The 26,980-nt window shown below is 40.5% G+C and overlaps 1 protein-coding gene and 1 long non-coding RNA gene across 19 annotated transcripts, besides 3 other annotated features; one reads left to right on the top strand and one right to left on the bottom strand.

Annotated features, from left to right (window-relative positions):
* Window positions 1-626: 626 nt before the first annotated feature.
* LOC105374998 (uncharacterized) lies at window positions 627-5,091 on the bottom strand. The gene is made up of 2 exons (XR_926659.2): window positions 5,003-5,091; window positions 627-1,781 (listed from the first exon to the last, which is right to left on the bottom strand). It is a non-coding gene; the product is annotated as an uncharacterized LOC105374998 (long non-coding RNA).
* Window positions 4,780-5,029: an enhancer, noted in NCBI's record as "active region_24357". NCBI's record gives its function as "activates an Ori minimal core promoter by ATAC-STARR-seq in GM12878 lymphoblastoid cells {active_cell/tissue: GM12878}" and the evidence as "EXISTENCE:reporter gene assay evidence [ECO:0000049][PMID:35858748]".
* Window positions 5,163-26,089, top strand: ZSCAN12 (zinc finger and SCAN domain containing 12). 18 transcript variants are annotated; one of them, NR_136510.2, is made up of 7 exons: window positions 5,163-5,253; window positions 6,437-6,906; window positions 11,830-12,008; window positions 13,168-14,492; window positions 18,674-18,755; window positions 22,301-22,719; window positions 24,039-26,089. NR_136510.2 is itself a non-coding variant. In XM_047419596.1 (6 exons), the coding sequence occupies exons 2-5, from the start codon at window positions 6,505-6,507 to the stop codon at window positions 22,419-22,421; spliced, it is 1,815 nt and encodes a 604-aa protein (XP_047275552.1). In that variant the 5' UTR covers window positions 5,163-5,253; window positions 6,437-6,504; the 3' UTR covers window positions 22,422-22,942; window positions 24,039-26,089. The 18 variants fall into 18 exon arrangements, 8 of the variants coding, with proteins under 8 accessions (XP_047275552.1, XP_047275553.1, XP_047275555.1 ...); NR_028077.2 differs by lacking the exon at window positions 18,674-18,755 and having other exon boundaries at window positions 11,864-12,008; window positions 13,168-14,314; NR_136509.2 differs by lacking the exon at window positions 18,674-18,755 and having other exon boundaries at window positions 11,864-12,008.
* Window positions 6,041-6,110: a silencer, noted in NCBI's record as "silent region_17045". NCBI's record gives its function as "represses an Ori minimal core promoter by ATAC-STARR-seq in GM12878 lymphoblastoid cells {active_cell/tissue: GM12878}" and the evidence as "EXISTENCE:reporter gene assay evidence [ECO:0000049][PMID:35858748]".
* Window positions 21,240-21,339: an enhancer, noted in NCBI's record as "active region_24356". NCBI's record gives its function as "activates an Ori minimal core promoter by ATAC-STARR-seq in GM12878 lymphoblastoid cells {active_cell/tissue: GM12878}" and the evidence as "EXISTENCE:reporter gene assay evidence [ECO:0000049][PMID:35858748]".
* Window positions 26,090-26,980: the final 891 nt, after the last annotated feature.

Here is a 26,980-nt window from a genome sequence, read left to right as displayed (position 1 = left end):
CTAGGCAATACCATTCAGGACATAGGTATGGGCAAGGACTTCATGACTAAAACACCAAAAGCAATGGCAACAAAAGCCAAAACAGATGAAGGGGATCTAATTAAACTAAAGAGCTTCTGCACAGCAAAAGAAACTACCATCAGAGTGAACAGGCAACCTACAGAATGGGAGAAAAATTTTGCAATCTACCCATCAGACAAAGGGCTAATATCCAGAATCTACAAAGAACTTAAACAAATTTACAAGAAAAAATCAAACGACCCCATCAAAAAGTGGGCAAAGGATAGGAACAGACATTTTTCAAAAGAAGACATTTATGCAGACAACAGACAAATGAAAAAATGCTCATCATCACTGGTCATCAGAGAAATGCAAATCAAAACCACCATGAGATGCCATCTCACACCAATTAGAATGGCAATCATTAAAATGTCAGGAAACAACAGGTGCTGGAGAGGATGTGGAGAAATAGGAACACTTTTACACTGTTGGTGGGAGTGTAAACTAGTTCAACCATTGTGGAAGACAGTGTGGCGATTCCTCAAGGATCTAGAACTACAAATACCATTTGACCCAGTGATCCCATTACTGGGTATATACCCAAAGGATTATAAATCATGCTACTATAAAGACACATGCACACGTATGTTTATTGTAGCACTATTCACAATAGCAAAGACTTGGAACCAACCCAAATGTCCATCAGTGATAGACTAGATAAAGAAAATGTGGCACATATATACCATGGAATACTATGCAGCCATAAAAAAGGATGAGTTCATGTCCTTTGTAGTGACATGGATGAAGCAGGAAACCATCATTCTGAGCAAACTATGGCAAGGACAGAAAATCAAACACCACATGTTCTCACTCATAGGTGGGAACTGAACAACGAGAACACTTGGACACAGGGCGGGGTACATCACACACCGGGGCCTGTCGTGGGGTGGGGGGATAGGGGAAAGCATTAGGAGAAATACCTAATGTAAATGATGAATTAGTGGGTGCAGCAAACCAACATGGCACATGTATACATATGTAACAAACCTGCACGTTGTGCACATGTACCCTAGAACTTAAAGTATAATAAAAAATAAATAAATAATAAAAAAAGATAAAAAAGAAATTGTTAACTATAGCCTATAAAAAATTACCTTATACTGTATACATAATAATTTCCATAAAAATTGGAGCTATACCTGGCCTAAAATTTAGTGCAAGTCCTCAACATCAAGCTTTTTCCTAACTGGAAATTTAAATATCAACTACAAATTGAAAATTGCATGTTGACTATGTCATTGAAACGAAGGAAAGTTAATATTCTTAGGAAATAGTCTAATCAAACTGTTACAATCTGGTAAACATCTGATCTTGTTATCTATTGCTGCATAAATAGTTACTCCAAAACAGTGGACAAAAACACACCATCATGTTTTGGGCCAGGAATTTGGGGAGGACTTAGCTGAGAAATTCTTCTGTTTCATGTGGTGTCAACTAAGATCACATGCTGGTATTCATCTGGCAGTATAATTTGTCTGGAAAATCCAAGACAGCTTCACTGCCATGCCAAGTGCCTTGGCAGGGACAGCCAGAAAAGTGGGCTTAGCCGGGCTGATCTTCTCCATGTGGTCTCAGAGCTTCTTTATGTGGTCTCGGAGACACACAAAGCTCACTTTGGGGTCATCTTTTTGGCATCTTGAAGGATTCTTGCAACTCAGTCACTGGAAAGCAGGGTTGGCAGACTTCTTCCATGGTGGCTCAGGACTTCAAGAGCAATTGTTCTAAAAGACAAAAAGTGAAAGCTGCTGCTCTCCAAAGGCTCAGGCCAGAAACCACAGCATCACTTTTGCAGTATTTTATTGGTCAAATTAATGATTAACCCCACTCAGATTCAAGGGAAAGTGACATAGACCCCACATCTTGATGAGAAATGCCAAATAATTTGTAGTCATCTTTAATTTTCCACAATACCTTTATCCACCTCAGATTTAAAGTCTGAAGGAAAAATAAGCCTTTTTTTGAAATCTTTTCCCAAATAACTTTTTTCTCAATTGTCTCCATCCCCTTTCAACCTCACTAAATAAACCTGGCACAATTATGAGCTAATCAAGTTTATACATGCTTTCATTTTCACAAAGTAACAAAGTGAGCTTCCAATATTACAGTTTTACCTTTTCTCTTAGTCTTTGAGTCCTAGATCTCAACATCTGCTTTTTTTCCCTTTTAAGTGCAGTTAGAAGGCTTATCAATATATCACAGGAAGCTTTCTCCTTTTTAAATGTTAGAGTTATTTTGTTAGTAAAATGGCCAAAAAGTGTTAGTAATAATGTTAGACAAAAATTGTTTAAAATAAAGGTATTCTGGAGATCCATTTTGTCTGCTCTTTGTCTCTATATCCTTGTGTTTCTCTAGTGTCAAAAGACGGAGATTGGTTTTACTCGGAGTTCTGTCTTAAGCTCTCTTTGTGCTTAGATGCTCTTTTCTTCTGGCTACATTGCATCTGTGACAAAAAGTTGACTGTTTCACCTAGGTCCCTGGGAACTATGCCAAGTCAATCATCCTTGGTGCAAGCTGACTTTTTAAGTGAGACTTTCATATCAGCTTCTTACAGTAAGTCATGCCAAGTGGAACTTGGAAAACAACTGCATTGCAAAAATCCTTCAAGATGCCTGGAAAAGGACCCCAAAGTGAGCTTGAGGGACACTTCCAGGTTGAATTCAAGTTGTTGTCCAATAATTTCTCTGTCTGTTGTTTTCTGAGATGTTCTACGGCTTCAGGTGAGATTTGAGCCCTGGCACGGTGTGAGGAGGGATCTCTCTCTCCCTTCTCCGCAGACGCCCTGAAAGAAGAATCTATAGGGCTGGCAGTAGGGGGCAAAGGGCACTCCAGAAATCTGTCCTAGGCTGTTTTTTAGCACCACACACTTCATGAGATATCTTAATCATTTTAACCATTACTGAAAGGTGGAAGGCTCCAAAATATGGATCTCAAGCTAACTCTCTTCTCATGACTCCTAGACCCACAAATCCCTAAACCAATCCATTAACAAATAGCAACATCTACAGTGTAATGCTTCCTAGGATTTCGAACTTAACATGGCCAAGCTGTGCTCATAAATTTCTTCTCAAAATGCTACTTGTCATTTAGTGTCCCCTGTCTTGGTGGAGGGACCACCATCCTCTGACGATACCAGGCTTTTTTTTTTTTTTTTTTTGGTTCTCTTATCCCCCACATAATCAATGATGAAGCCCTGATCCATTTTTCCTCCTGAGAATTTCTCAATTTCATCCCCTCATATTTGGCATTTTAAAAATCAGGCCTCTCCTGATCTCATTTAATCTTGTGTGTGTGTCACTTCATATTTTTGTCAAAGTATCTTTGAGATGGATTTCTAGAAGTGGTATTGCAGGAACAAAGGGTAAACTTACATATATAATTTTGCTGTATAGTATTATCTTTCATACCTATGGGTTGTACCATTTTGCATTCCCACTAGAATGTTAAGAGTTTCTCCTTCCTCATGAGTAGAGCATGCTGTCAAACTTTTGTACCATTGCCAATCTGATGACTAACGGTGCCTCAGTCAGCATAGTTTTTAATTTGTATGTTCATATTTTGAGTGAAGTTGAACATATTTACAGATGTTTGAGGGCTGCTAGCATTTCTTATTCTGTCAACTATTTATTTCTTTTGGCCATTTTCTCTATTGGGTTATTGGTTATTCTCAACTTTTAGGAGCTCTTTAGGTATTTGGAAAACTAGCCCTTGCCTGTGATATGTTGCAAGCCTTTTTCTTTCCTTATTTTTTTTTGACAAGCAATACATTTTATTTTCATGTAGCCAGATTTATTATTTTTATGGGTTTTAGATTTTGAGTCATATGGTTAGATAATGTTTCCCTATTCCCACGTGTTAGAATTATTATTCATGTTTTCTTCTAATACATGTATAGGTGGATTTTTTATATTTAGATCTCAGATCCATTTAGAATTTATCTCTATTGTGATGTGTGGTGGGAAATACAAATCCAGTTTTACCTTTGCCAAACGGTTATCATCCCAGCACAACTTCTAAGTTCTTCATTTCCCTGTTGATATGTGGTGTCACCTTCATCATTTACTCAATATCCTTACATACCTGGATCCATTTCTGGTCTATTCTTTCTCTCTGTTAATACACTAAAATTATATGGGTATGTTCCAGTATCTGATAAGGTTGACCCTCACCATTTTTCTTTTTCATGGGTTTCCTGGCTATTCTTATTTCCCCACATGAATTTTATAATCAGTTTATCTAATTCCAGAACAATATTTGTTGATATTTTTGTTGGAATACTACAGTTGCATACGTATTTAGGGAGGACTGACCTCTTTGAGTCTTTCCAAGAACCTCATATCGCTTTCTGTTTGTTTAAATGTATACTTGGCCTTTTAGGAATGTTTTAAAGCTTTCCCCATAGAAGTTTTGTTCATTTCTTGTTAAGTTTATTCCTAGTTTCACTTTTTTGCTGCTCTTGTAAATATGGTCTTCTCTTCCATTATATCTCGTAACTCGTTATCATTGATTATTCACATATATGAAGGTCGTTGATTTTAGTGTGTTAACTTTATATCTTGCTATTTTACTAAATTATCCTTTTTTTATAGTTTTTCCATTGAACCGGGTTTTCTGACATATAATCATACATCAGCACATAAAAGAGAACATCAAAAGAATCGTGGATGGCGAAAGAGCCGGCAGAAACCAGCCGGCTGGCCCTTGAGAAGTCTGTGTGGAAGAAGTCCCTTCGCCACCGCTAAGCGCGGATTTGGGAAGGTCCCCCGGAGAACATCCCTTTGAGGCATCTCTAACCTCAGAGACACAGAATCCCAAAGTGAATGGAGACGCAAGGGATTTCCCTGTCTTAAGATCAGTTCTACAAGCCTCGACCACCCATCGGGTCGGGGGAAGTGTGGACAATGGCTGGGTAAAGAAGAGGAGAAGATAAACCCGTTCCATTTACCAGCGGGCCTGAAAGCCATCAACCTTCCTCTCACGTAGACGCGCGGAAACACTACCGAGTTGAAAGCCCCTTTCGCTCCCTTCCTAGAGCGGCCGCGGAAGTGCGCCCCGCGCGGGCTGGTTCTTAGACCCCCCGTGGCCGCTTCCGGCCTTTGTGGGTCACTTTTGATGGGTTCCGGGTCCCAAAAGGGTTCGAGGCCTCTTGCCTTCGCTCCGTAGGAGGGAGTTCTCTTCTGGCCCTGGGGGCCGCAGGTGAGCGATGTTGTGCTCTGTACGCTGCGAGCAGGTGGGCGGGAGATTGCTGTATTCCAGCTGCTGGGCCCCTCAGGCCCTGGCCGGTGCAGAGTGGACCCCGGTCCTCCCAAACCCAGGCGGATCCGCGGGAAGCTCTCCCTCCCCAAAGTGCGTTGGGACATTAGGATGAGGGTTTGGCTCCCAGTCTCTGCAGCAATTCCAGGCTGTAAGGCCCATACCTTCCGCGTTTGCTTCGGGCTGTGTATCCTTGGGTTCAGCGCTTACCGACATTTCTGGACAGTGGTGGGTCACAGACGCTCGCCGGCGTCCTAGGGACCCTTTCCTGGGCCTTCCTCACTTCAGATTATAATCACAGACCACGAGGTTAGAGGGAAGCCTTAAAGAGTAACCTCTTCAGCCTTCTCACTTTATAAATGAAGAATGAGGAGCAGAAAGATTAAGTCCCTGAAGAAATAAATTTACATGACTGTAGCTTTTGTGATTTCATGGTTTCCACCAGACATCTGGACATTCAAAAGATAAAAGTAACTAATCAAGGATGTCCTAACCTTTTGTTATTATTATTTACTTGATCTAAATGTTAGTTTTATTCCATTTGTCTTTCATTTAGGACCAAATGAGAATAAGTTTACCAACAAGTCTTACTCTTAAGTCCTGAAACAACTTGGCACCTTTCCTCAGTCTTTCTCTTTAAATTAGTCTAATCTTTTTTTTTTTTTTTGAGACGGAGTCTCGCTCTGTCGCCCAGGCTGGAGTGCAGTGGCGCGATCTCGGCTCACTGCAAGCTCCGCCTCCCGGGTTCACGCCATTCCCCTGCCTCAGCCTCCTGAGTAGCTGGGACTACAGGCGCCCGCCGTCACGCCCGGCTAATTTTTTTTTTTTTTTTTTTTTTGTATTTTTAGTAGAGACGGGGTTTCACCATGTTAGCCAGGATGGTCTCGATCTCCTGACCTCGTGATCCGCCCGACTCGGCCTCCCAAAGTGCTGGGATTACAGGCGTGAGCCACTGTGCCCGGCCTAAATCGGTCTAATCTTAAGTCTTTTCTATCAGAGTATTTTTCTGAGTAAGTATTGTACATTAATCCGGAGGTCAGATTTCAAAGGTCATAGTTAAGTTCTCAGAATTTGCAGTTTTACTTTATGGTGGAGTTTGTATTAATAATGATGGCTTATTCTTCAGGACTGTCCAGGAATACAGTTTCCAGGTGAGATCTTACTTGAAACACCGGTAGTTCTAGCACAGCTAAAATGGCATCTACTTGGGCTATCCAGGCCCACATGGACCAGGATGAACCTTTGGAAGTAAAGATAGAGGAAGAGAAATATACCACCAGACAGGATTGGGACCTGCGTAAAAACAACACCCATAGCAGAGAGGTCTTCCGTCAGTACTTCAGACAGTTCTGCTACCAGGAGACATCTGGTCCCCGTGAGGCTTTGAGCCGACTCCGAGAACTTTGCCATCAGTGGCTGAGGCCAGAGACCCACACCAAAGAACAGATTCTGGAGCTGCTGGTGCTGGAGCAGTTCCTGACCATCCTACCTGAGGAGCTCCAGGCCTGGGTGCAGGAGCAGCATCCAGAGAGTGGGGAGGAGGTGGTGACTGTGCTGGAGGATTTAGAGAGAGAACTGGATGAACCAGGAGAGCAGGTGAGAAAAAAGATGTGACTTCTGCTTGAGAAAACATAAATTGTGGATTTCTAGGCCAGAGTGAAGAACAGCCATTTTTTCACAAAGCATGTTTTTGACAGTTTGGTGCATCAGAAAGGGGCATGAGTTTCACGGAAAGTTGGCTAATGTGGTCCCAACTTATTTATAACTTTTCTGTGGAAGGATTTTATATTTCTCTATTAAGCTACAAAATTCTGTTTGATAAACATGCTGCTCATCTTAGAAAACTTCTAAGACAAGAGAAAGTATCAAAGAGATGACAGTAGCAGGATGGGAAGCAGTCTCTTGGAGGGGCATCACTCTGTTGCACAATACAAATAATTAAGAATTAAGGTTTTGCAGATATATCCATTGCTCTGACTCCATTACAGGGTTTTAAAATGAAGACATTAACTATTTCAGGGGAATGAGATGTGGGAGTACAATGGAAAGTTAGTGAGGAGAGCAGGGTGGGGAATCTGTGTTTCTTTGAGTAGCAGAAAGCCCAGTTAGGTTGGAAAGGTGAATTCCAAATAGCAGAGTTGAGATAGTGTCCAGGACCTTGAATCTCAACCTCTGGAATTGAGATTTTATTCTGTAGGACAGATGCCCCTAACCTTTTCTCCTTGAGTCTAAATGAGCTTTACTAATTGTAAGATGTAAAAGAGAACCAAATTATGTAGAACGTTTTTGTTTTGTTTTTAATACTAAAATGAGACAGTGGTTCTCAACCAGTGCCAATTTTGTGCACCAGAGGGCATTTGGCAATGTCTTGGGACATTTTTGGTTGTTATAACTTGGGGAGGTGCTGCTAGTATCTAGTGGATCACTCGGGGAGGTGCTGCTAGTATCTAGTGGGTAGAGAGGGCAAGGCTAATGCTAAACCTCTTAAAACACACAGGACAGCCCCAGACAACAAAGTCAGTAGAGCCAATGCTAGGAACATGTCAGTAGAGCCAATGCTGGGAAACCCCGGTATAAAGAGTTTGAAACTTAGGGAAATAATGAAACAGAAGTATAATCTAGCACTGTGATACAAAATGCAATAGAGAGGGTAGGAACATGTGGCAAAAATATCTAAGTTTGAAATAGGATCATGAGGCCAGGCACGGTGACTCATGCCTGTAATCCTAGCGCTTGGGAGGCCAAGGGAGGTGGATCACCTGAGGTCAGGAGTTCAACGCCAGCCTGGGCAACATGGTGAAACCCCGTCTCTACTAAAAATACAAAAGTCAGCCGGGTGTGGCAGGACATGCCTGTAATCCCAGGTACTTGGTAGGCTGAAGCAGGAGAATCACTTGAACCTAGGAGGCAGAGGTTGCAGTGAGCCGAGATTGTGCCACTGTACCCCAGCCTGGGCAACAGAGTGAGACTCCGTTTAAAAAACAAAACAAACAAACAAACAGAAAAAAGAAATAGGATCGTGAAAGTGTGATTACCAAGGATGAGGCATGTCTTAGGTAAGAACTGTTTGGAAGTGATGACAGATTAGCTCTATTAAATAAAGAAGGAAGAACCAATGGAGAACTCTTTACAGAGCAATGTATTCTAAGCTAAACACTAGGGATTTTAAGCTTGAAAGACTAGTATAATGGAGACACTCCTAACAAAGTTAAAGACTGCAGGAAACAATTAAGCACATATTTACCGAATGTCTGTTTGGACTAGGTACTGTTTTAGGCACTGTGAATGCAACAGCGAACAAAACACAGGGGTTGCTGCTCTCATGTAGGTTCTGGTCCACTGAGACAGATAGTAAATTAAAAATCAACAAACCAGCCTGGGCAACATAGTGAGACCCCCATCTCTATAAAAAATACAAAAATTAGCCAGGCAGGTGTGTGTAGTCCTAGCTACTTGAGAGGCTAAAGTGGGAGGATTGCTTGAGCCCAGGAGATCGAGGCTGCAGTGAACCACGATCATACCACTGCACTCCAGCCTGGGCGACACAGTGAGACCCTATCTCCAAAAAAAAAAAAAAAAATCAACAAACACCTACAAGATGTAGGTGGTAATAAATTCTGTTCAAACAACAACAACAATAAAAGCAGAGAAAAGGAATAGTGAAATAAGTGGGGATTGTGCTGTTTTCTGTAGACTTGTCAGAGAAGGTTTTTCAGATAGGTGACATTTACAGGAGAAATCTGAATGAAAAGAGCAAGCCATAAGCTATCAGGGATAACAGCATTCAGGCAGAGGGTCTTAAAGTGAGAATGTACTTATCATGGTGGAGATGTGGTTGTCAAGGAGGAGATGAAATAAAATGCTTATAAGATTATATTATGTCAGAACTTGTAGGCCATTATAAGAATTTCGAATTGTATTCTGAGATGGAAAGTCATTGGAGAATTTTGAACAGAAGCGAGATATAATCTGACTTGAATTTTAAAATAGTCACTCTGGCTACTGTGAGAAAGTTCCACAATGGGGCTGGGGTAGCCATAGGAGTAAAAGGTAGAGGCAACGAAACCATTTTAGGAGCAATAATAATAAGCAATAATCCAGGCAAGAGATATTGGTGACTTGGACTAGAATAGTAGCAGTGGGAGTGGTAAAATGTGATTGGATTCTGGATATATTTTGGAGCTAGAGCTTGACAGGGTTTGTTTTTATATAGAATGTGGAATATGAGAGAAAGTAAGTTAAGGATTATGCCGAAGTATTTGGTCTGAACATCAGATAGAGTGGATTTGTCATTCATAGAGATGGTAAAGACTGGGAGAGAAGTGGGTTTGGGGTGGAAAGACAGGAATCAAAACTTAGGGTTTGGGCCAGGCACGGTGGCTCAAGCCTGCAATCCTAGCACTTTGGGAGGCCAATGTGGGCAGATCACCTGAGGTCAGGAGTTCAAGACCAGCCTGGCCAACATGATGAAAGCCTGTCTCTACTAAAAATACAAAAATTAGCTGGGTGTGGTGGCAGGCACCTATAATCCCAGCTACTCAGGAGGCTGAGGCAGGAGAATCGCTTGAACCCAGGAGTCGGAAGTTGCAGTGAACCAAGATCTTGCCACTGCACTCCAGCCTGGACGACAGAGTGAGACTCTGCCTCAAAAAAACAAAAAAAACAGGGTTTGGACATGTTAATTTTGAGATTCCTATTAGAATCCAAGCAGAAAAGTTGAGCAAACAACTAGATATAATAAACTGGAATTCAGTGGAAGGGTCTGTGCTAGAACTACAGAATTGGGGCTTTTCAGAATACGCATAGTATTTAAAGCCACGAGATAGGATGAGATCATGAAGGGAGTAATGAGCAGTAGAAACAGAGTAGCTAGGGAGGTACAAAGAATGGGATTCTTAGATGCAGACAAAAGTAATTTGGTTTTAAATGTGCTGAATTTGTATTGCCAACCAGTTCTTTCTCTGAAAGCACTGCAGGGGCATATAATGGAGTTTACAGCTTGATTTCTGAGGCCTGACCAGAGATCCCAGAATAGAAGGCACAGCTCGCAGTACTGGCCTTTTCCCCCGGCTTTCTTTTTTCAAAATATGAGATATCAAAACACCGTTTTCTATACATCTGAGATAGCATTTTGCTGACTCTCGCTTTTATTCTGAAGACTGAGGCTACAAAATGAAAATGTATCAGGGAAATAGAGGCAGTATATGGTGATTTCTTAGTTATAAAATTTAACCTTTGAAGAGAATGGGGGAGTAATTTGAGAACCTGTTGTATGCCAATCCCTGTGCAAGGTGGTTTATACAAATGTTATTTATAATCTCAGAGAGAGTAAGTAACTAGCCCAAGGTCACAGAGCTACTAGACTAAGAGAGAGAGTAAGTAATCCATGTGATTCCAAATCCCTGCTTTTTACAATACCTTGCTGAAGAAACCTGTTATTTTTAAATGCAAGAGGAAATAAGCCCATGGAAGAATGGGAGCCACCCAGTGGCTGAAATTGAATAAATGAGTTAACTGAGGGAGCAAGGGTCAGAGAGAAGCCAAAAGTGATGGGATTGAAGGCAAAAGTAGAGACGTAAGCCTTGAAAAAGAGAAGACATCATCCTAAGATAGAAGAAATGGAGAGGAGTATGAGGGTGGAGATAGATAAAATGAAGAGTAGATGATTTTTGAGATGATTGTGATCTTGGATAAATAGAAAATAAGATAATCTTCCCAGAGAGAAGTGGGACGGGCACCTCAGAAGAGCAGAGACTATTGGGAACAGCTTAGGGAATGAATATGGAAGAGATTTCTCTCCTTCCCTTCTTTTCCCTTTCTTTCTCCTCATTTGTTCCCTTCAACCTTTTTTTTTTTTTTTTTTGGAGCTACAGTGTCTCTGTCACCCAGGCTGGAGTTCAGTAGTGTAATCATAGTTCACTATAACCTTGAACTGGGCTCAAGCAGTCCTCCTGCCTTAGTCCCCTGAGTAGTTAGGACTACAGATGTGCACCACCATGCCCAGATCATTTTTAATTTTTTTGGAGAGATGGGGTCTTGCTATATTGCCTAGGCTGGTCTCAAACTCCTGGCCTCAAGCAATCCTCCCACCATGGCATCCCAAGGGTGCCTTTTTTTTTTTTTTTTTATCATTTCTCTACATTATTTACCTTTACATATCCCCTTTCCTTTTCCTCTTTCTCTCTTAATGTTTTATTTTACCCTAAGTTCTATCTTATTTCCTCCTTTCTGCCTCTTTTCACCTTTTTCTTCTCTCCTTTGTTTTGTCTTTCTCCCTTTCCTTTCTCCACTTCTTTAAGCATAAGATAAAGAGGTAACAGTGGCACAACCAACATACTTTAGCGGTAACAACAGGAGAAATTACATCTGGGTGGAGAAGGGAAGATTCCCCAGAGGAGGCGACATTTATATTGGCCTTGAAGAATGGGTAGGGTTATGGCAGGCTTATATCTGGGAAAAAGGTCATTTCAGGGTTCAGCCACTGCCACAAATAGTATACTTTTTGTTTTCTGTTATCAGAGTGAGTCTGTCAGCTACATCTCATTTTCCTCAGGTCTCAGTCCACACTGGGGAACAGGAAATGTTCTTGCAGGAGACGGTACGTCTACGAAAAGAAGGAGAACCCAGTATGTCCCTCCAGTCCATGAAAGCCCAGCCAAAGTATGAATCTCCAGAACTTGAATCCCAACAGGAGCAAGGTAAAGAAGAAAGACCCATCTTGGGAGGAAGGGGAAGATGGGTAACATAGGACATTGGGGCTTTTTTGTACTTGCTACTGTTTCTGATCATTAAAGTCAAAAAGGCCGTCTCAGAATCTGATGGCTCATATATAGACTCTCAGACAGCCTAGTTTGTCACTCTTCAACCCTTACTTTTTTGTATATTCATATTCTTCTAAATTCTGGCTTTACCACTTAATTTAGTCCTTCTGATATTTATCTCTCTTTATACTGACCTCCTTGCTATTTTTAGCCTTTATCCTATCAGACAATACCTCTATCTTCCACTTGCACTATATCCTTTCTGCTTCACTAAATAAGCCTTTGCTCCATTATGTCTGCAACTAACTTTCAGATGGTTCAAGAAAAAAAAAATTTGTATACTTACAAAGAAAAGGAGTAACAGGCTGGGTGCGGTGGCTCACGCCTATAATCCCAACACTTTGGGAGGCCAAGGTGGGTGGATCACGAGGTCAGGAGTTCGAGACCAGCCTGACCAACATGGTGAAACCCCGTGTCTACTAAAAATACAAAAATTAGCTGGGCATGGTGGCGCGTGCCTGTAATCCCAGCTACTCAGGAGGCTGAGGCAGGAGAATCGCTTGAACCTAGGAGGCGGAGGTTGCAGTGAGCTGACATCACCCCACTGCACTCCAGCCTGAGCAACAGAGCAAGACTGTCTCAAAAAAAAAAAAAAGAAAAAGAAAAAATAATAAAACAAATGTTGCAAAATATTAAAAGTTGGTGAATGTGTGAAAGATCCGCTACCTTATTTCTACTTTCTCTGCATCCTTTTCATTTTCATTTAATTTTTTAAGTAGGTAAAAATGTACATGGCTCAAAAACAAAAATTTTTTAAGTTATTTAATGAAAAGTTTCTATTCTACTCGATTTTCCCAGCCACCTAGTCTCTTCCTCCTACTCTGAAATAGGTTGTAACTGTTACTAATTTTTCGTGTGTCCTTCCAGATATTTTTTTGATGCATATGTTTTCCATATTGAAACAAATATATTTTGCTCTCTTTATCACTAAGATGGTAGACTCTTGCATTTTTTATTTCTAAACAGCTGCTTAATATTAAAATGTATGGATACATTTTAAAGGTAGAAAGAGGTAACATTTATGATCCCTTCTTAGTTTTAGATGTTGAGACTGGAAATGAGTATGGGAATTTAAAGCAAGAAGTTTCTGAAGAAATGGAACCACATGGGAAGACATCCAGTAAATTTGAAAATGATATGTCCAAGTCTGCTAGGTGTGGAGAAACTCGTGAACCTGAAGAAATAACAGAAGAGCCCTCTGCTTGCTCCAGAGAAGATAAACAACCTACCTGTGATGAAAATGGAGTAAGCCTGACTGAGAACTCTGACCATACTGAACATCAGAGAATCTGTCCAGGAGAAGAATCTTACGGATGTGATGACTGTGGAAAAGCTTTTAGTCAGCACTCACACCTCATAGAACATCAGAGGATCCATACTGGAGATAGACCCTACAAATGCGAAGAATGTGGAAAAGCTTTCCGTGGGAGAACTGTGCTTATTCGACACAAAATAATACACACTGGAGAGAAACCGTATAAGTGTAATGAATGTGGCAAAGCCTTTGGCCGGTGGTCAGCTCTTAACCAACATCAGAGACTTCACACAGGAGAAAAACACTATCACTGTAATGACTGTGGCAAAGCCTTTAGTCAGAAAGCAGGCCTCTTTCACCATATCAAGATCCACACAAGAGACAAACCTTATCAGTGCACTCAGTGTAATAAAAGTTTTAGTCGGCGTTCCATACTTACTCAGCATCAAGGAGTTCATACCGGCGCCAAGCCGTATGAGTGCAACGAGTGTGGAAAAGCCTTTGTTTATAACTCATCCCTTGTTTCCCATCAGGAAATCCACCACAAAGAAAAATGCTATCAGTGTAAGGAATGTGGGAAATCCTTCAGTCAGAGTGGCCTTATTCAGCATCAGAGAATTCACACTGGGGAAAAACCCTACAAATGTGACGTATGTGAAAAAGCCTTTATTCAAAGGACAAGTCTTACAGAACATCAGCGAATTCACACTGGAGAAAGACCCTATAAATGTGATAAGTGTGGGAAGGCGTTTACTCAAAGATCAGTCCTCACGGAACATCAGAGAATCCACACTGGAGAGAGGCCCTACAAGTGTGATGAGTGTGGGAATGCCTTCCGAGGAATCACCAGCCTCATTCAGCATCAGAGAATCCACACTGGGGAGAAGCCCTACCAATGTGATGAGTGTGGAAAAGCCTTCAGACAGAGGTCAGATCTTAGTAAACACCAGAGAATCCATAATAGACGTGGTACCTATGTATGTAAAGAGTGTGGGAAATCATTCAGGCAGAACTCAGCTCTTACTCAACATCAGACTATCCACAAAGGAGAAAAATCTGTTTCTGTGTGATGACTACAGGGAAGTTATCTCACAGAGTTCAGGCCGGTGAGAAATACTATTTAGCTTTACAATTATTGGGGCAAAACTTCAGTCACCATTGTTATAAGGAAACCTCAGATATTTAATAAGAATTCACTGTGTGCTGCCCATTGTACTACGTGCTGTGGAGAACAAGAAGATAACCCCAAACTCTTTTCTCAGAGAGTTTGTAGCCTAGTTTGGGATAGATAAGATCCACATATTTAGTCATATAAGACTACAGGAGAGTAGAATTGATGCACCAGATGGTGTCGAATGAAAGTGGTACTTTGTAACAGACTATAAGTGCTGTAAATTCTAAAGGACAGGTTACTTTTGCCTGGAGTGGTCAAGAAAGATTTTATTTAAAATAAGGATTTGACGGGCAGACTTAGCAGTCAAAAGGGAGAAAGCGGGTAAAACAAATGTAAGCCATCATAAGAGTGCATGTGGTTTGGAAGCATCAGGGAAAAGACTAGCCAACCTGAAGTAAAAGGTTCGTGCAAATTGGGCAATCAATAGCATTAAGTTGGAAACAGCTTGGGGACAGACACATAAGAGGGCCAGAGTGTGAATAATTTCATCTAATACTTTATAGCACTTGGACATTTACAGAGCACTTTTCTCAATTCCTAAAATACCTTGGTAAATCAAAAGCATTCTCCATTTTAAAAATGAGAATACTCTTGCCTATGGAGATGGCAACATAGCTATAATCCCACACAAAGAAAAAGACCAGTAACCTAAGTGCAGGTCTTTTGACTTCTAGTCCTGGCCATTACTCTAGTGATCCTCCAACTTTGATGAACATCAAAATCATGTTTGGAGCTTGTTTAACATCCCTGAATCCCACTCACATTCTGCTTCATTAGGCCTAGGATGGGAGTTGAGAATCTTCATTTTTATAGCTCCACAGTTACTTAATATACTTTAAAATTTGAGAAGCGTTGAGTTGAATGACAGCTGACTTCATGGCTGTCTGCGAAGTGGGGAAGCCTGAACACAGTCCTATAAACTAAAGGCCACTGCAGACTTTTAGCACAAGGAGATCCTTACAGGGAACATGTGCCATCAGCTCTTTGGAGTGAACAAGGAATTAGACCCCCATCATGCCAAAAAACTAGGATTTTTAGGTGGTCTTTCCATCCCTTCAGATTTAAGTATTCAAAGAAAGAGAGACAGACCTACATTCCAAGGGTCTTCTGAGTGCAAGGCCTTGTGTTGTTTGTTTATTTAGGGGAGGGCCTGGTGCTCTTCTCTGTTTTATGCTTTACCTTCTTTTATTTCTCAGATCTCATGTTAGCACTATGTTCTGAATTCCCTAATAATGGCTCTTGAGAACTGATTTACATTTTGTTGGTTTGTTTACTTCTTGAGCACATAAAAGGACCCCAAATTAGAGATACTATCCCTTGGGCTTCTGAAAAATGAATCAACCAAAACTGGTTGACTCTAACCTTGCCTTGCTGAGTAAAAATTCTGCTTTGGATGAGAACCTGTCTTGATTATTTTAGTGGACAACAGATAAGCCACATGGAAGTACACATGGCTCCTGATCTGTCTTTTTATTTACAGAAATCATTCTTAATCTCTACTGAGATGGCCTGTTATTTCCTTCCTTTTCTACCCTGCCACAGCAAACTCCACAGTTTCTGGGACTAACTTCCTACTACACCCCAACACAACTCCAGTCCTCTCTTCTCTTCACACTTCTAGCTGGTTAGTGGGTTTGAAGTGGTGAGACAGTGACAAAAGGGGAAGGGGAAAAATAAAAGAAGGGTAATCTGCATTCTTCCTTAGTAAGTCCCACTCCTAATTACCTTTCTACACAGCCCTGTGTCTTTGTCCCATCTTCTCTTCACTCCTGTAATATACTCCCCAGCCCCATTTTCTTAGTGCCCCTGTCTCTTGCCTCTCTAGCCATAAACCCTGTATAGAATTTCATCCCTGGGTTGGAACTAGAAGCGTCTCTGGTCCTATAGGAATATTATGTTTCTAGCTAAGTTGTAAATATGAACACATATTCCCATAGAAGTCATAATGGTATAAGTATTATAATTCAGGTATATTAGGTGTCAAATTGGCTTCTGGGATTGGAACTTACATGACTTTCTGTGTGGAAAAACCTTCTTGAGTTCACAAGAGAGAAAGGCAAATGAACAGTTGAAAAACAACTTACTCATAAGTTGAGGACTGCTTAGTTAGGCTTTTTTCATAACCCCAGCATTGGAGTTGCACACATGAGGCACTGAGGCAACTGGGATTGGAAACCTAGTTTTTTTCCTCCAGGAAACAAGGAACCCAGAGTGAGTCTGGGAGCTCTGTAGCTCTAAGTATGTGAGGCCTGTGCTCTACCTAAGTTTACCCTGCCTCCCATTTCTCACATAATGAGAATGCAAACTTGTAACCAAACCAAGGTTCAGCTGCTTGCGGCTCCAAAGCCAAAACTCGGGAGAGAAGAAAATTGGTGCGAGGAAAAGCAGATTTATTCGGAGAGCCAGCAAACTGAGACGATGGTAGACTACTGTCCTAAAGTACCATCTTAAGTCAGTACAAATGTTGGGCTCGGCTCTTTTTATGTTAAGGGCAAAGGGAAGAGGACAGAGTTGGGATGAAGAGGTGACCTATGACCACAGACATCTGGGCGCCAGCAAGAGTCCAAGGAGGTTGGGAACTTCTTTGTCATTGGTTGGGTCACAATGCTCCTGCAAATCTTCAACAAAACATAATTGTTATACATACTTCTTTAATCCCAGAGTTAGTTTTTAAAACTACATGATTGCTGTTTTTGCATATTATCTCTGCTCTAAAATTAGCCTACATGGAGGAATAGGTAAAGGGTCCTTAAACAAAAATGGAGTTAGTTATGGTAGTTCTTTTGCTGTTTCACTGTTAGAAACTCTTCTCAGTGGAGGGGACTTTACTTAGTGATGAGAACCTGTGTGAGAATGTTCTCCTTACCAAACATGCTATGCATACTCCTTATCTAATCTGATTTTATAGACTTGTTATCCAAACTGAAATTACTGTTCATAGTAACTTCAGAGCCTCTCTTTTAATCTGACTGCTCGCTGGAATGCAATCGTTGTTTTAAACTTGCCTTCTACTCCTCTGAGTGCCTTTACTTGGGGTCTTTCCAGTTCATTTTCTGCTTAATATGTTCTGTCATTGCGCACATTCCTCCATTTGCCTTTCTGCACACTACTTAATCTTTCTTATATACCTAATATTATAAAGGGACCATAAACAAAGACTCAGAACAATGGAATATGCCTATTATAGGAGGGTACAGTTCATACTTGTTTAAAAATAAATGTGGAGGCTGGGTGCAGTGGCTCACACTTATAATCCCAGCACTTTGGGAGGCCGAGGTGGGCGGATCACGAGGTCAGGAGGTTGAGACCATCTTGACAATGTGGTGAAACCCCATCTCCACTAAAAATACAAAAATTAACCAGGCGTGGTGGCACATGCCTGTAATCCCAGCTACTCGAGAGGCTGAGGCAGGAGAATCGCTTGAATCCGGGAGGTGGAGGTTGCAGTGAGCTGAGATGGCACCACTGCTCTCCCGCCTGGTGACAGAGCAAGACTCCATCTCAACAAAAATTAAAATAAAAATAAAAATACACGTGGGGGTTTTGTTCTGGTTATTTCTCATGCTTAAATACAGTTGTAGTACCAAAAAAAGGTGGAGTGACATGGAATTTCCAGGTAGGCATCAAAGAGGATTAAACTAGCTTTCCAGGATAAAGAGGAAATATAGTAGAATAAGGCTACTAATTGGAGCTAAATTGGCAATATAGGCAAATTGAAGGCCCTGAGGGGCAAATGGAGGATGTGACATGTTAGATATGGAATAGGAGTGCTACATTAGGGAATGCAGTGAAGAGAGAATGCTTTGTGATGAAGTCAGGAGTACATTTTGTGGATAACATATAGATGTGGTGTGACAGTGACAAGATCCTAGGAAACCAGAAACCTCTGAAGCATTTTATGTATGTGGATTTTGAAATAACAATAACGGGGTGGGATGGAAACGAAGAATATAAAAGCGAAGCAGGTCCAAGGTAGAAATAACGGTCATCAATTGTAGTAACAATGGCCAGATAGAAGTATCTGTTGTAAAACTTGAATGAATCATAAAGCTTGCAAATAATATTAAGAATAAGAATAAGATTGACTGGCTTGTCTTTTCTAATTGATTCAAGGTAAACAAGACATTAAGTGTTTAAGGCAAAAAGCATGGAGAGGTTGGGGAAGAGCCAAGTTTCTAAAGTAATGAAAAGTGAGGTGAGTTTCAACACGGGCTATGAATGAAAACGTAACCTGACAATCAAACTGATTCCAGAGAGTGCAGTGGGAAGTGACTGCAGAGGAAAAAAGAATGGGGCCCTCCTTCCAAAAATAAATTGTATTAAGAGGTTGCCAGAGTTTGAGGTACGAGATGAAGCTAATGAGGAAAGACAGTGGGATTGAGCAGGGCTCCAAATTGAGACATCTCAACTGTATAATGAGGTTGGTTGTAGAGACCTCTAAGATAGAAGAACTTAGACAAGTCTGCATTCCTGTATTCAGTACAGAAGTAGCCACTTTTGTTAATATACAGATTATTTGTAGAGTTGTTATAGTCAAAACAAAGCTGTTCTTATTGGCCATCTTTTGGAATTGAGAAAAGGATTTATTAATGACAATACCGCACACTTATTAGCTGCTTACTAAGGGCCAGACATTACTAAATGCTTTACTTACAACATTTCACTTTCAGCTGGGGAAACTGAAATAGATAATCTAAAGCTGCTCAAGGTCCCGAAGTTAGTATGTGGTCAGGCCAAGATTTGAACCCAAGCAGCCCAGTTCCAGAGTTCACACTTTTAACCTCTGTGATACACTTCCTCTCTTTATTTCAGTTGAACAAACCATGTGTTGCAGTGGTAATTCAGTGTCTTGAGTAATTATCTGTAAAAACTTTTTATCTCCAGTCATTATTCTGAAAAATGATTCAGAAAGTCCTGGAGTCCAAACACCTCAGGTAATAATATTATCACCCCCTCTGCATACCAAATCTTGGATGAGGTTTGGCCAGCATAAACAGCTCTACTTCTTGTTGCCTGCACAGTGAGGGTGTCACAGGAGACATTCCACTTTAAAAATGGGCTCTTTATATGAAAAGATCACCCTTCTTAGAATGATAAATCACTCTGCATTATTCTCACAGAATAAGGAATATTTGGCTGTCTAATTTAATACAGAAAGATTTAAAGATTTGTCCCCAAGTGTTGATAACCCATTATGGATCTATCTTTAATGCCAGTTTTCAAAAGTGATTTTATATTAGAAGATACTTCTTGGATTTAAAAATGCACACACACACATATATGTGATATATGATATTTTTCTTTGCTTAAGACTTACCAATTTTACAGTTCAAATGGTGACCCTCCTAACTCCACAAGGCCAGAATTTGAGCAAATGCTTGTTGTTCAACCTAGACATAATCATTCGATAGCCTTTAATTGAATCTCTTCCCAACTTTTATCCTTTAAACCGAAAAGTTATATACCACAGTCACTACAGCAGCTCATTTTATTGGAATTTCTTTGGATCCTCTCCCTCTCAAACGTTCTGTGTGCGTTTGGTAAGGAGTCCTCACACATTATTTTTTACTTGTATAGTATTTCTACATATATATATAAATGTGTAAAAAGTATGTATGAATATTTTTGTGTTGTAATTTGTATTTTACATATATATGACCTCATGTATATAATTTGATGTTGACAAAGCCAACTATGATAAGTGTTTTAAACTTTTCAGTTGATTAGCCCCCTAGCTTACATTGTAAGACCATCATTTAGAGCCAGCAGTTTTCCCTTGATTTCATCTCTTGAAGAGACAGTTGATTCTCTTCATACACGTTAAAAACACCATTTAGGTGTCAGAAACCCATCAGTCAAGGCTCCCAGAGCTTTCACCTATCATAGTTCAAGTTAATCTCTAGGGTATATGTCTGTTTGCTCCTGCCAGTCATTTTCCTAAGCCCAGTTGGCCTGCTCCTGGAAGTCCCAAGAAGGGCTCCATAGTGGAAGCCATTTGTTACTTTTGATTTATGATTACATCATCATTACTCCTCTTCAAGCTTAGTGGGCATATCTTAGTGTTTTGATCTAGTGCCTTAGTTCTGCCTACTTCAGTAACGAATTTAGGAGTAGATGTCTCCTCATTTCATCCCTGATAAAGATTGAGGCAGTTTAGGGACTCTGCAGCTTCCTCTGGCCAAATTCCCTACTTATTCCTGAGATAGGGTTTAAGAACCTGGATTCTAGAGACGGATTGCCATGGTTCGAATCTCAGTTTACTAGCTAAGTGACTTTGGGCAAGGGATTTAACCTCTCGTCCCTCAGTTTCCTCCTATGTAAAATGACAAGGATAATAGTACCAACCCAATGTAGATTAAATGAGTTTACGAAGTGTTAGAATAGTGCTTGGCACATTAGTGCTTTACAACTGCTATTTTGATTGTTGTTGTGGGCTCTCTCAAATGCATTGTCTCTAGATGCCAGTGACCCAGGTCAAAATTTACCTTTAACCAAGCTGCATGTTTCCCAGACTGCTGCACAGTCCTCCTAGCCCTGAGATAAAAGCTCCCACCCAGGTATACTTTTACTTTCCTGCTGGAGAACTGATGAGCAGTGGCCAGCAGGGGACACTTATCGCCCAAGCTGGAAAGGAGAGATTTCTTCCCTTTTGTCTCCGCCCCTGTTAGTTATCAGAGGTACCTAGCGGCCCCTGCTATCCGAAGTTTGCCTTCCGAGCTGCTCTTCCGACGTTCTGCAGCTGGAAGGCCGGCCTCGCACGGGTCTGACGCGCCCCGGCCTGGGAGCATGGGCCCCTGGGGTTACCTGACTGCTCAGCTGGAACTTGCGCTGCTCAGCTGGGGCGGGGTTCGGCCGGGCAACCACAGAGAGGAGAAAGCCTCCAGAATCCTAGAGAAGCTGAATGCTGAGACAGCCGTTGACGGCAGCGGCACGTGAAAGTACCGACCTTTCTGGCCTTTGTGACGGACCTTTGGAGGCGGGTGGTTTCAGATTCGTGCGCTCCGGCCTTTCAGTGTCTCTGGTGAGGTTGGGCCTGATAGGTTGAGAGCTGCCAGGGGAAGTTAAGGATGACTTCCAAGTTTTGAGGTATCAGGAAAACTGGCTGTTGAGAAAAAGGAGTCTGGGTTCCCCGTTTGGTGAAAGGAAAGTTGGGTTCATTTGGGGAAATTATGTGATTCATGATTTTCCCAAGATCGACGCTGAGTACAAGAAAAGACAGAATCCACCTAGCTGTTGTGTGACTTTGAGCAAATTACTTAATCTCTCTGTGCCTCAGTTTTATTCCTCTGTCAGTGAGATTATAAGTGTCTACTTAAATGGCTGCATGCATGGTGCATTTTAAATAAATATTAGCTGTTGTTATTTTTCATTTCTGATGTTCTTATCTCTGCCGTTTATACAGGATATTGCATGTATGGTGCATTTTAAATAAATATTAGCCGTTGTTATTTTTCATTTCTGATGTTCTTATCTCTGCCGTTTATATGGGTATTTTGAAGTGGGGGGGAGCCAAGGGAAGAGGGTCATGATCTTTAAAGTTTTATTAATAAAAACTTTTAGAGAGTAAAAGGCTAGCAGATGGGGCTAGCTAATAATTTGCAGTCACTTTTGCTTTCCTAATTTATTTACCTTCCTGACAGAGTTCCGTTTTCTTTCAGTGCCTTGTTCAGATAAGTGAGTTCTTGGCTAAAGAAGTAAACAAAATTTAGCTTCTGTTAACATTGTTATTTTATGCCTCAGGAAGAAGACCAGCTACAAGGAAATACTTCTGAAAAATCACTCTGAACCCCAAGCTGGAGTGAATCTTCTCCTGAGCTCTCTCATTCCAGAATGGCAATCTTGTTTCAGGAGAGATCTCTAATAGTGACTGATGGTAAAGGAAGAAGGCTGTGCCTAGAACAAAGAATCAGGCTGGCAAAGAAATCACAGGTCTTTCCTCAAACTTTAAATTGCTACTCTCTGGAGATAGCTACCTGGACTTTACAGAGCTGTCAGAAGACTTGGGAAGGTTTGCCAGCATTGGAAAAAGCCACTTGGACTTCACAGAGCTGTCAGAAGACTTAGGAAGCTTTGCCAGTAGTTCCTGAGACCAGAAATACATATTATGAAGCAGGTGCTGGAACAGGCCCTGGCCCCTACTTGTGAAGCTGCAGATATAGGTAAGATAATATCATCCAGAATGTGGAGACGAGGCAATCGATGATGCTGGAAAAGTTGAAGAGAGAGTTTGAATGAAGGACAAACCACCGATGGGAAAGCTTGGGAGGATCACTTATAGCTTGACTAGCAAAAGGCTTTGGGAATAGGATAGAAAGCAGCAAACCTGAACTTTAGGATCCACCAGATGTCTCTGGAGCCATAACCCAACATTTCCCATAAATAGTAGGTTTTAATTCTCCTGTTATTTAGGTGCATCTCTGGGACCTCCTCTTTCTATATTGGGTTTTTTGTTTGTTGGGTGTTTTAACTTAGGATTTAGCTTCAAATTCCATTTCCCAAGACCAATTTTATCACATTGCCTTTAGGTCTCAGGCTAAATGATATAACAAGATATGCTTTTGGCAAAGATAGTACCTTGGAATGAAAGGTTTCAGATCAAACCTAAGATCCTACCTTAGTTTACCTCTCAGTGTTATTGCCTTTTGATATGGAAAGCTGATGAGAGAGCATCTCTGGAGAGAAAGAAGAGGAGAGCCTCACGGGAAGCTTTTAGAACTTTTAGTAGCATCCTCTCCCCAGAAAACTTGTCTCTACTCATCTCCTTCTCATTATCTACCTGATTCGTTAAGTAGGAAATCTCAGCCATATTTGTAGGGGATTGGGGTTTTGTTTTTTTTGACCCACTTAACTCCTTTAGCTTCAGAGTGTTGCTTTCTTACATTTTAGACATGAATATTACCTAGAAAATTTATTTCCCCACTGTTAATTTTCCAGTTTATTGATTTCCCCACATCAGATTAGTGTGTATTTTGAAACTGGTTTAGCTATTGTTTCAAGTTAACTTTGATCATATCCCGTTGTTTACTGATCCACTCAACAAATATTTATTGAACATTCTGTAGGTTTATAGTAGTAGCCAAGATACTTAAAGTGAGTAGAAATAGTCCTTTTAACTGTCCTTAACAAATTAAACTTTCTCTTGGTTTCATGATATTCCTTGTTTCTCAGCTTTGGATTCAAACTGATCTTCTCTTTTTTGATTATACTTTCCTGATTTCTTTTATTGTCACATTTTTGTGAAAAGTCTTCCATGCACTTCCAGTCTCTTTCTGCCTAGCTGTCTCTTCTCACCCAAATTGGACCCCCCTACTCCTACCCTGCCACGTGCCTTCACAAAAATGAGATGCTTGTTTAGAGACTTAGAAAAGGCATGCACTTTAGGTAAAAGTGGATTTTATTTTTAATCACTGTACCCTATCATAAATCTCATTTCAGAAGAGACAACTGACATTTGAATTGTCTGTGCATTTTGTTTTAGATGGTGTTACTGAGAAGGAAACTAAGGACTTGGCTCCAAAACAAAACAAAACAAAATCTGGAGATGCTGAATTTTGTTGGGGGGAATGTCTGTAGAACTGCAACATCAATGCAGTAAGTGTAGTAAAAGCTTTAGTTTATGGTGAGTCATTACTCAGCATCATGGAGTCCACGATGAAGAGAATCTCTTTTCAATCTGTGCAATCAACAAGTTTTTGAAAGGCTTTTGTTTATAGTGGAACCCTCTTTTCCCCCTAGAAGAACCACCACAAGGAAAAATGCTGTCACCATAAGGAATGTGGGAAAGTTTTCAGCCACATGGCCTTATTTGACTTCAAAGAATCCACATGAGAGAGAGACTGCATAAATGTAATAACTGAGGAGGCCTTTGTTCAGCAAAGAAACCTTATACAAACTCGTATAAAGAATGTAGGAAGACCTTCACCCAGAAGCCAGGACTGACTGTGCACCAGAGAATCTGCACAATAAACATGATGAATGTGGAGATGCTTGCTTCAGCATTGGAGAATTCACAGTAAAGGGAAACCCTGCCAGTGTGATGAGTACGGAAAAGTCTTCAGAGGTTGGAACTTGGGAAAAATCAGTGAGTGAATTCATATTAGAGAGGCTCTTATAAATGAGAGGATTGTGGAAACTTGTATAGACAGAGATCAGACCTCAACAAGGGAGCCTCCACAGTATTGAAAAGTTAATATAATTAATGTAAGTGGGCAAGTTGTATGGGGAATGGGTAGTCTAAATTGCTCATTTTAGCCAGTAAAAACATTAAATTAGTTTCTTAGATCAAGAAAAGGAAATGTTAGAAGTTATTTTTCCCTTCCAGAGGGGTCTATATGTGTAAGCAACCAGGACTTTTGAAATAAGTTGCATCTCTGGATTTGTGATCTGTCTCCTGGATGATTATCTCTGTTTTGGGAGACAGGTATTTTTTCTTCATGCCTGCTCTAGTCTCATCTCATATCTTTAATTCATTCAGCAAGTATACACAATAGTATTATCGTCTACTGTTTGTTGTAAATATATATATATTATTTTCTTTTTGGTCTGAGTAGGCTTGTATTGGTACCCTAGGACATAAAAATCACATATATCATGTTTCAGTAAATGCAGTGAAAGGAACTATATTATTAAATTGCTGGGAATTTCTGTAAATTTGAGACTACCTTTATATTCTCCAACACAAGACCGTGTAGGTGTCCCTTCAGAGAGTATATTTTTCTAGCTTGGCTTCTTTATTTTCTTTATTTTTTTGAGATGGAGTCTTGCTCCTGTCGCCCAGGCTGGAGTGCAATGGCACGATCTCGGCTCACTGCAACCTCCGCCTCCCAGGTTCAAGTGATTCTCCTGTCTCAGTCTCCCGAGTAGCTGGGATTACAGGCACTTGCCACCATTCCCAGCTAATTTTTGTATTTTTAGTAGAGACGGGGTTTCACCATGTTGGCCAGGCTGGTCTCGAACTCCTGACCTTGTGATCTGCCCACCTTGGCCTCCCAAAGTTCAGGGATTACAGGCATGAGCCACCATGCCCGGCTGTTTTTTTAAGATAGAAAAATATACTTCATGTATAGCCTATTGACAGATAATGACTGATATTTTTTCTTATAGATAACACATAATAAACATTGTGAAGACTAATAAGTAACTTGCTTATTCTTTTCAGTTCTAAAACCTGTAGGAAAGAATCTTTAGAAGCTGTCAACAAGTTGATAATGTAGCCCAATCTCTACCCATGATAGGAGAGTAAGGCTTATATATTTTATAGTAGGGCACTAAATACAGGAACCATGTATTTAAAAACTTTTTAGTGATTATCTCAGAATTCTAGGTGTCCCTCTGCTGTACATCCCTAAATTTTTTGCATAGGTATTATTAATAAATTCATTATTTTCAAAGATGGACTGTGTTCTGTAAAAAGCTTTTCCAGTATCTGCAAATCACACAGTTTTTTTTAACTCTATTACTATTATATAAAATGATTTCTTAATATTGAACCAACCTTGCATTCCTAGAATAAACCTCACTTAGCCATGATGTGTTATTTTCTTAATATATTAATGGGTTTACTTGTTAATATTTTGCTTAGTACATTTCCTTCAATATTCATGTGAAATTGGTCCATAATTTTTATACTATATTTTTCAGGTTTAGATTTCACTCTTTTACTTGCATCATAAAAATAATTTAAGTCTGTGTTCATTTTTAATGCTCTAGAACAATTTATGAAGCATCAGAACTAGTTAATCTTTGAAGGATAGATTCTGATGTGAAACCTTCTGGGTCATATGCTTTTTTGTGGGATAATTTCTTGGTAACTTCCTCTATTCTATGAAAGTTATCTATTCAGGCTTTCTATTTATAATGGGTTCCATTTTGGTAATCTTTATTTGCCTTGGAAATTATCCATTTCATCAAGGCTTTCAAATTTATTTGCCTAGAATATGCAATGTAACCTAATGATTTTTAAAACAAATTTTATTTATTTTATTTTTTTAGAGACAGGGTCTTGTTCTTTTACCCAGGCTGGGGTGCAGTGGTGCAATCATAGCACACTGCAGCCTTGAACTCCTGGGCTCAAGGAATCCTTCACCTCAGTCTCCCAAGTAGCTGGGACTACAGGCACACACCACCACACCCAGCTAATTTTTTTGTTTGTTTTTGTAGAAACAGAGTCTCTCTTTGTTGTTCATGCTGGTCCTAAACTCCTGGCCTCAAGCAATTCTCCTGCCTCAGCCTTCCAAAGTGCTGCGATTACAGGCATGAGCTACCATATCTGGCTTCCTTATGACTTTTTAAACAGCTTTATGGAAGGAAATTGATATGTAGTGAACTGTATAAGTGTACAGCTTGATAAGTTCTAACATGTATACACCTGTGAAACAGTCACTACTATCAATATGTCACCCAAAAAAGCTTCCTCATGTC

This window comes from Homo sapiens, chromosome 6 (assembly GCF_000001405.40).
Source record: "Homo sapiens chromosome 6, GRCh38.p14 Primary Assembly".
Classification (NCBI taxonomy): domain Eukaryota; kingdom Metazoa; phylum Chordata; class Mammalia; order Primates; family Hominidae; genus Homo; species Homo sapiens.
The sequence above is the reverse complement of the archived record's forward strand: the minus strand, read 5'-3'. Positions and strand labels throughout refer to the sequence as shown.

Coding starts and splice junctions, on each gene's coding strand:
- ZSCAN12 (XM_047419595.1), top strand. CDS start 6,505: ATGGCATCTACTTGGGCTATCCAGGCCCACATGGACCAGGATGAACCT. Junction 6,907..11,863: donor TGGATGAACCAGGAGAGCAG/GTGAGAAAAAAG, acceptor CATTTTCCTCAG/GTCTCAGTCCACACTGGGGA. Junction 12,009..13,167: donor TGAATCCCAACAGGAGCAAG/GTAAAGAAGAAA, acceptor ATCCCTTCTTAG/TTTTAGATGTTGAGACTGGA.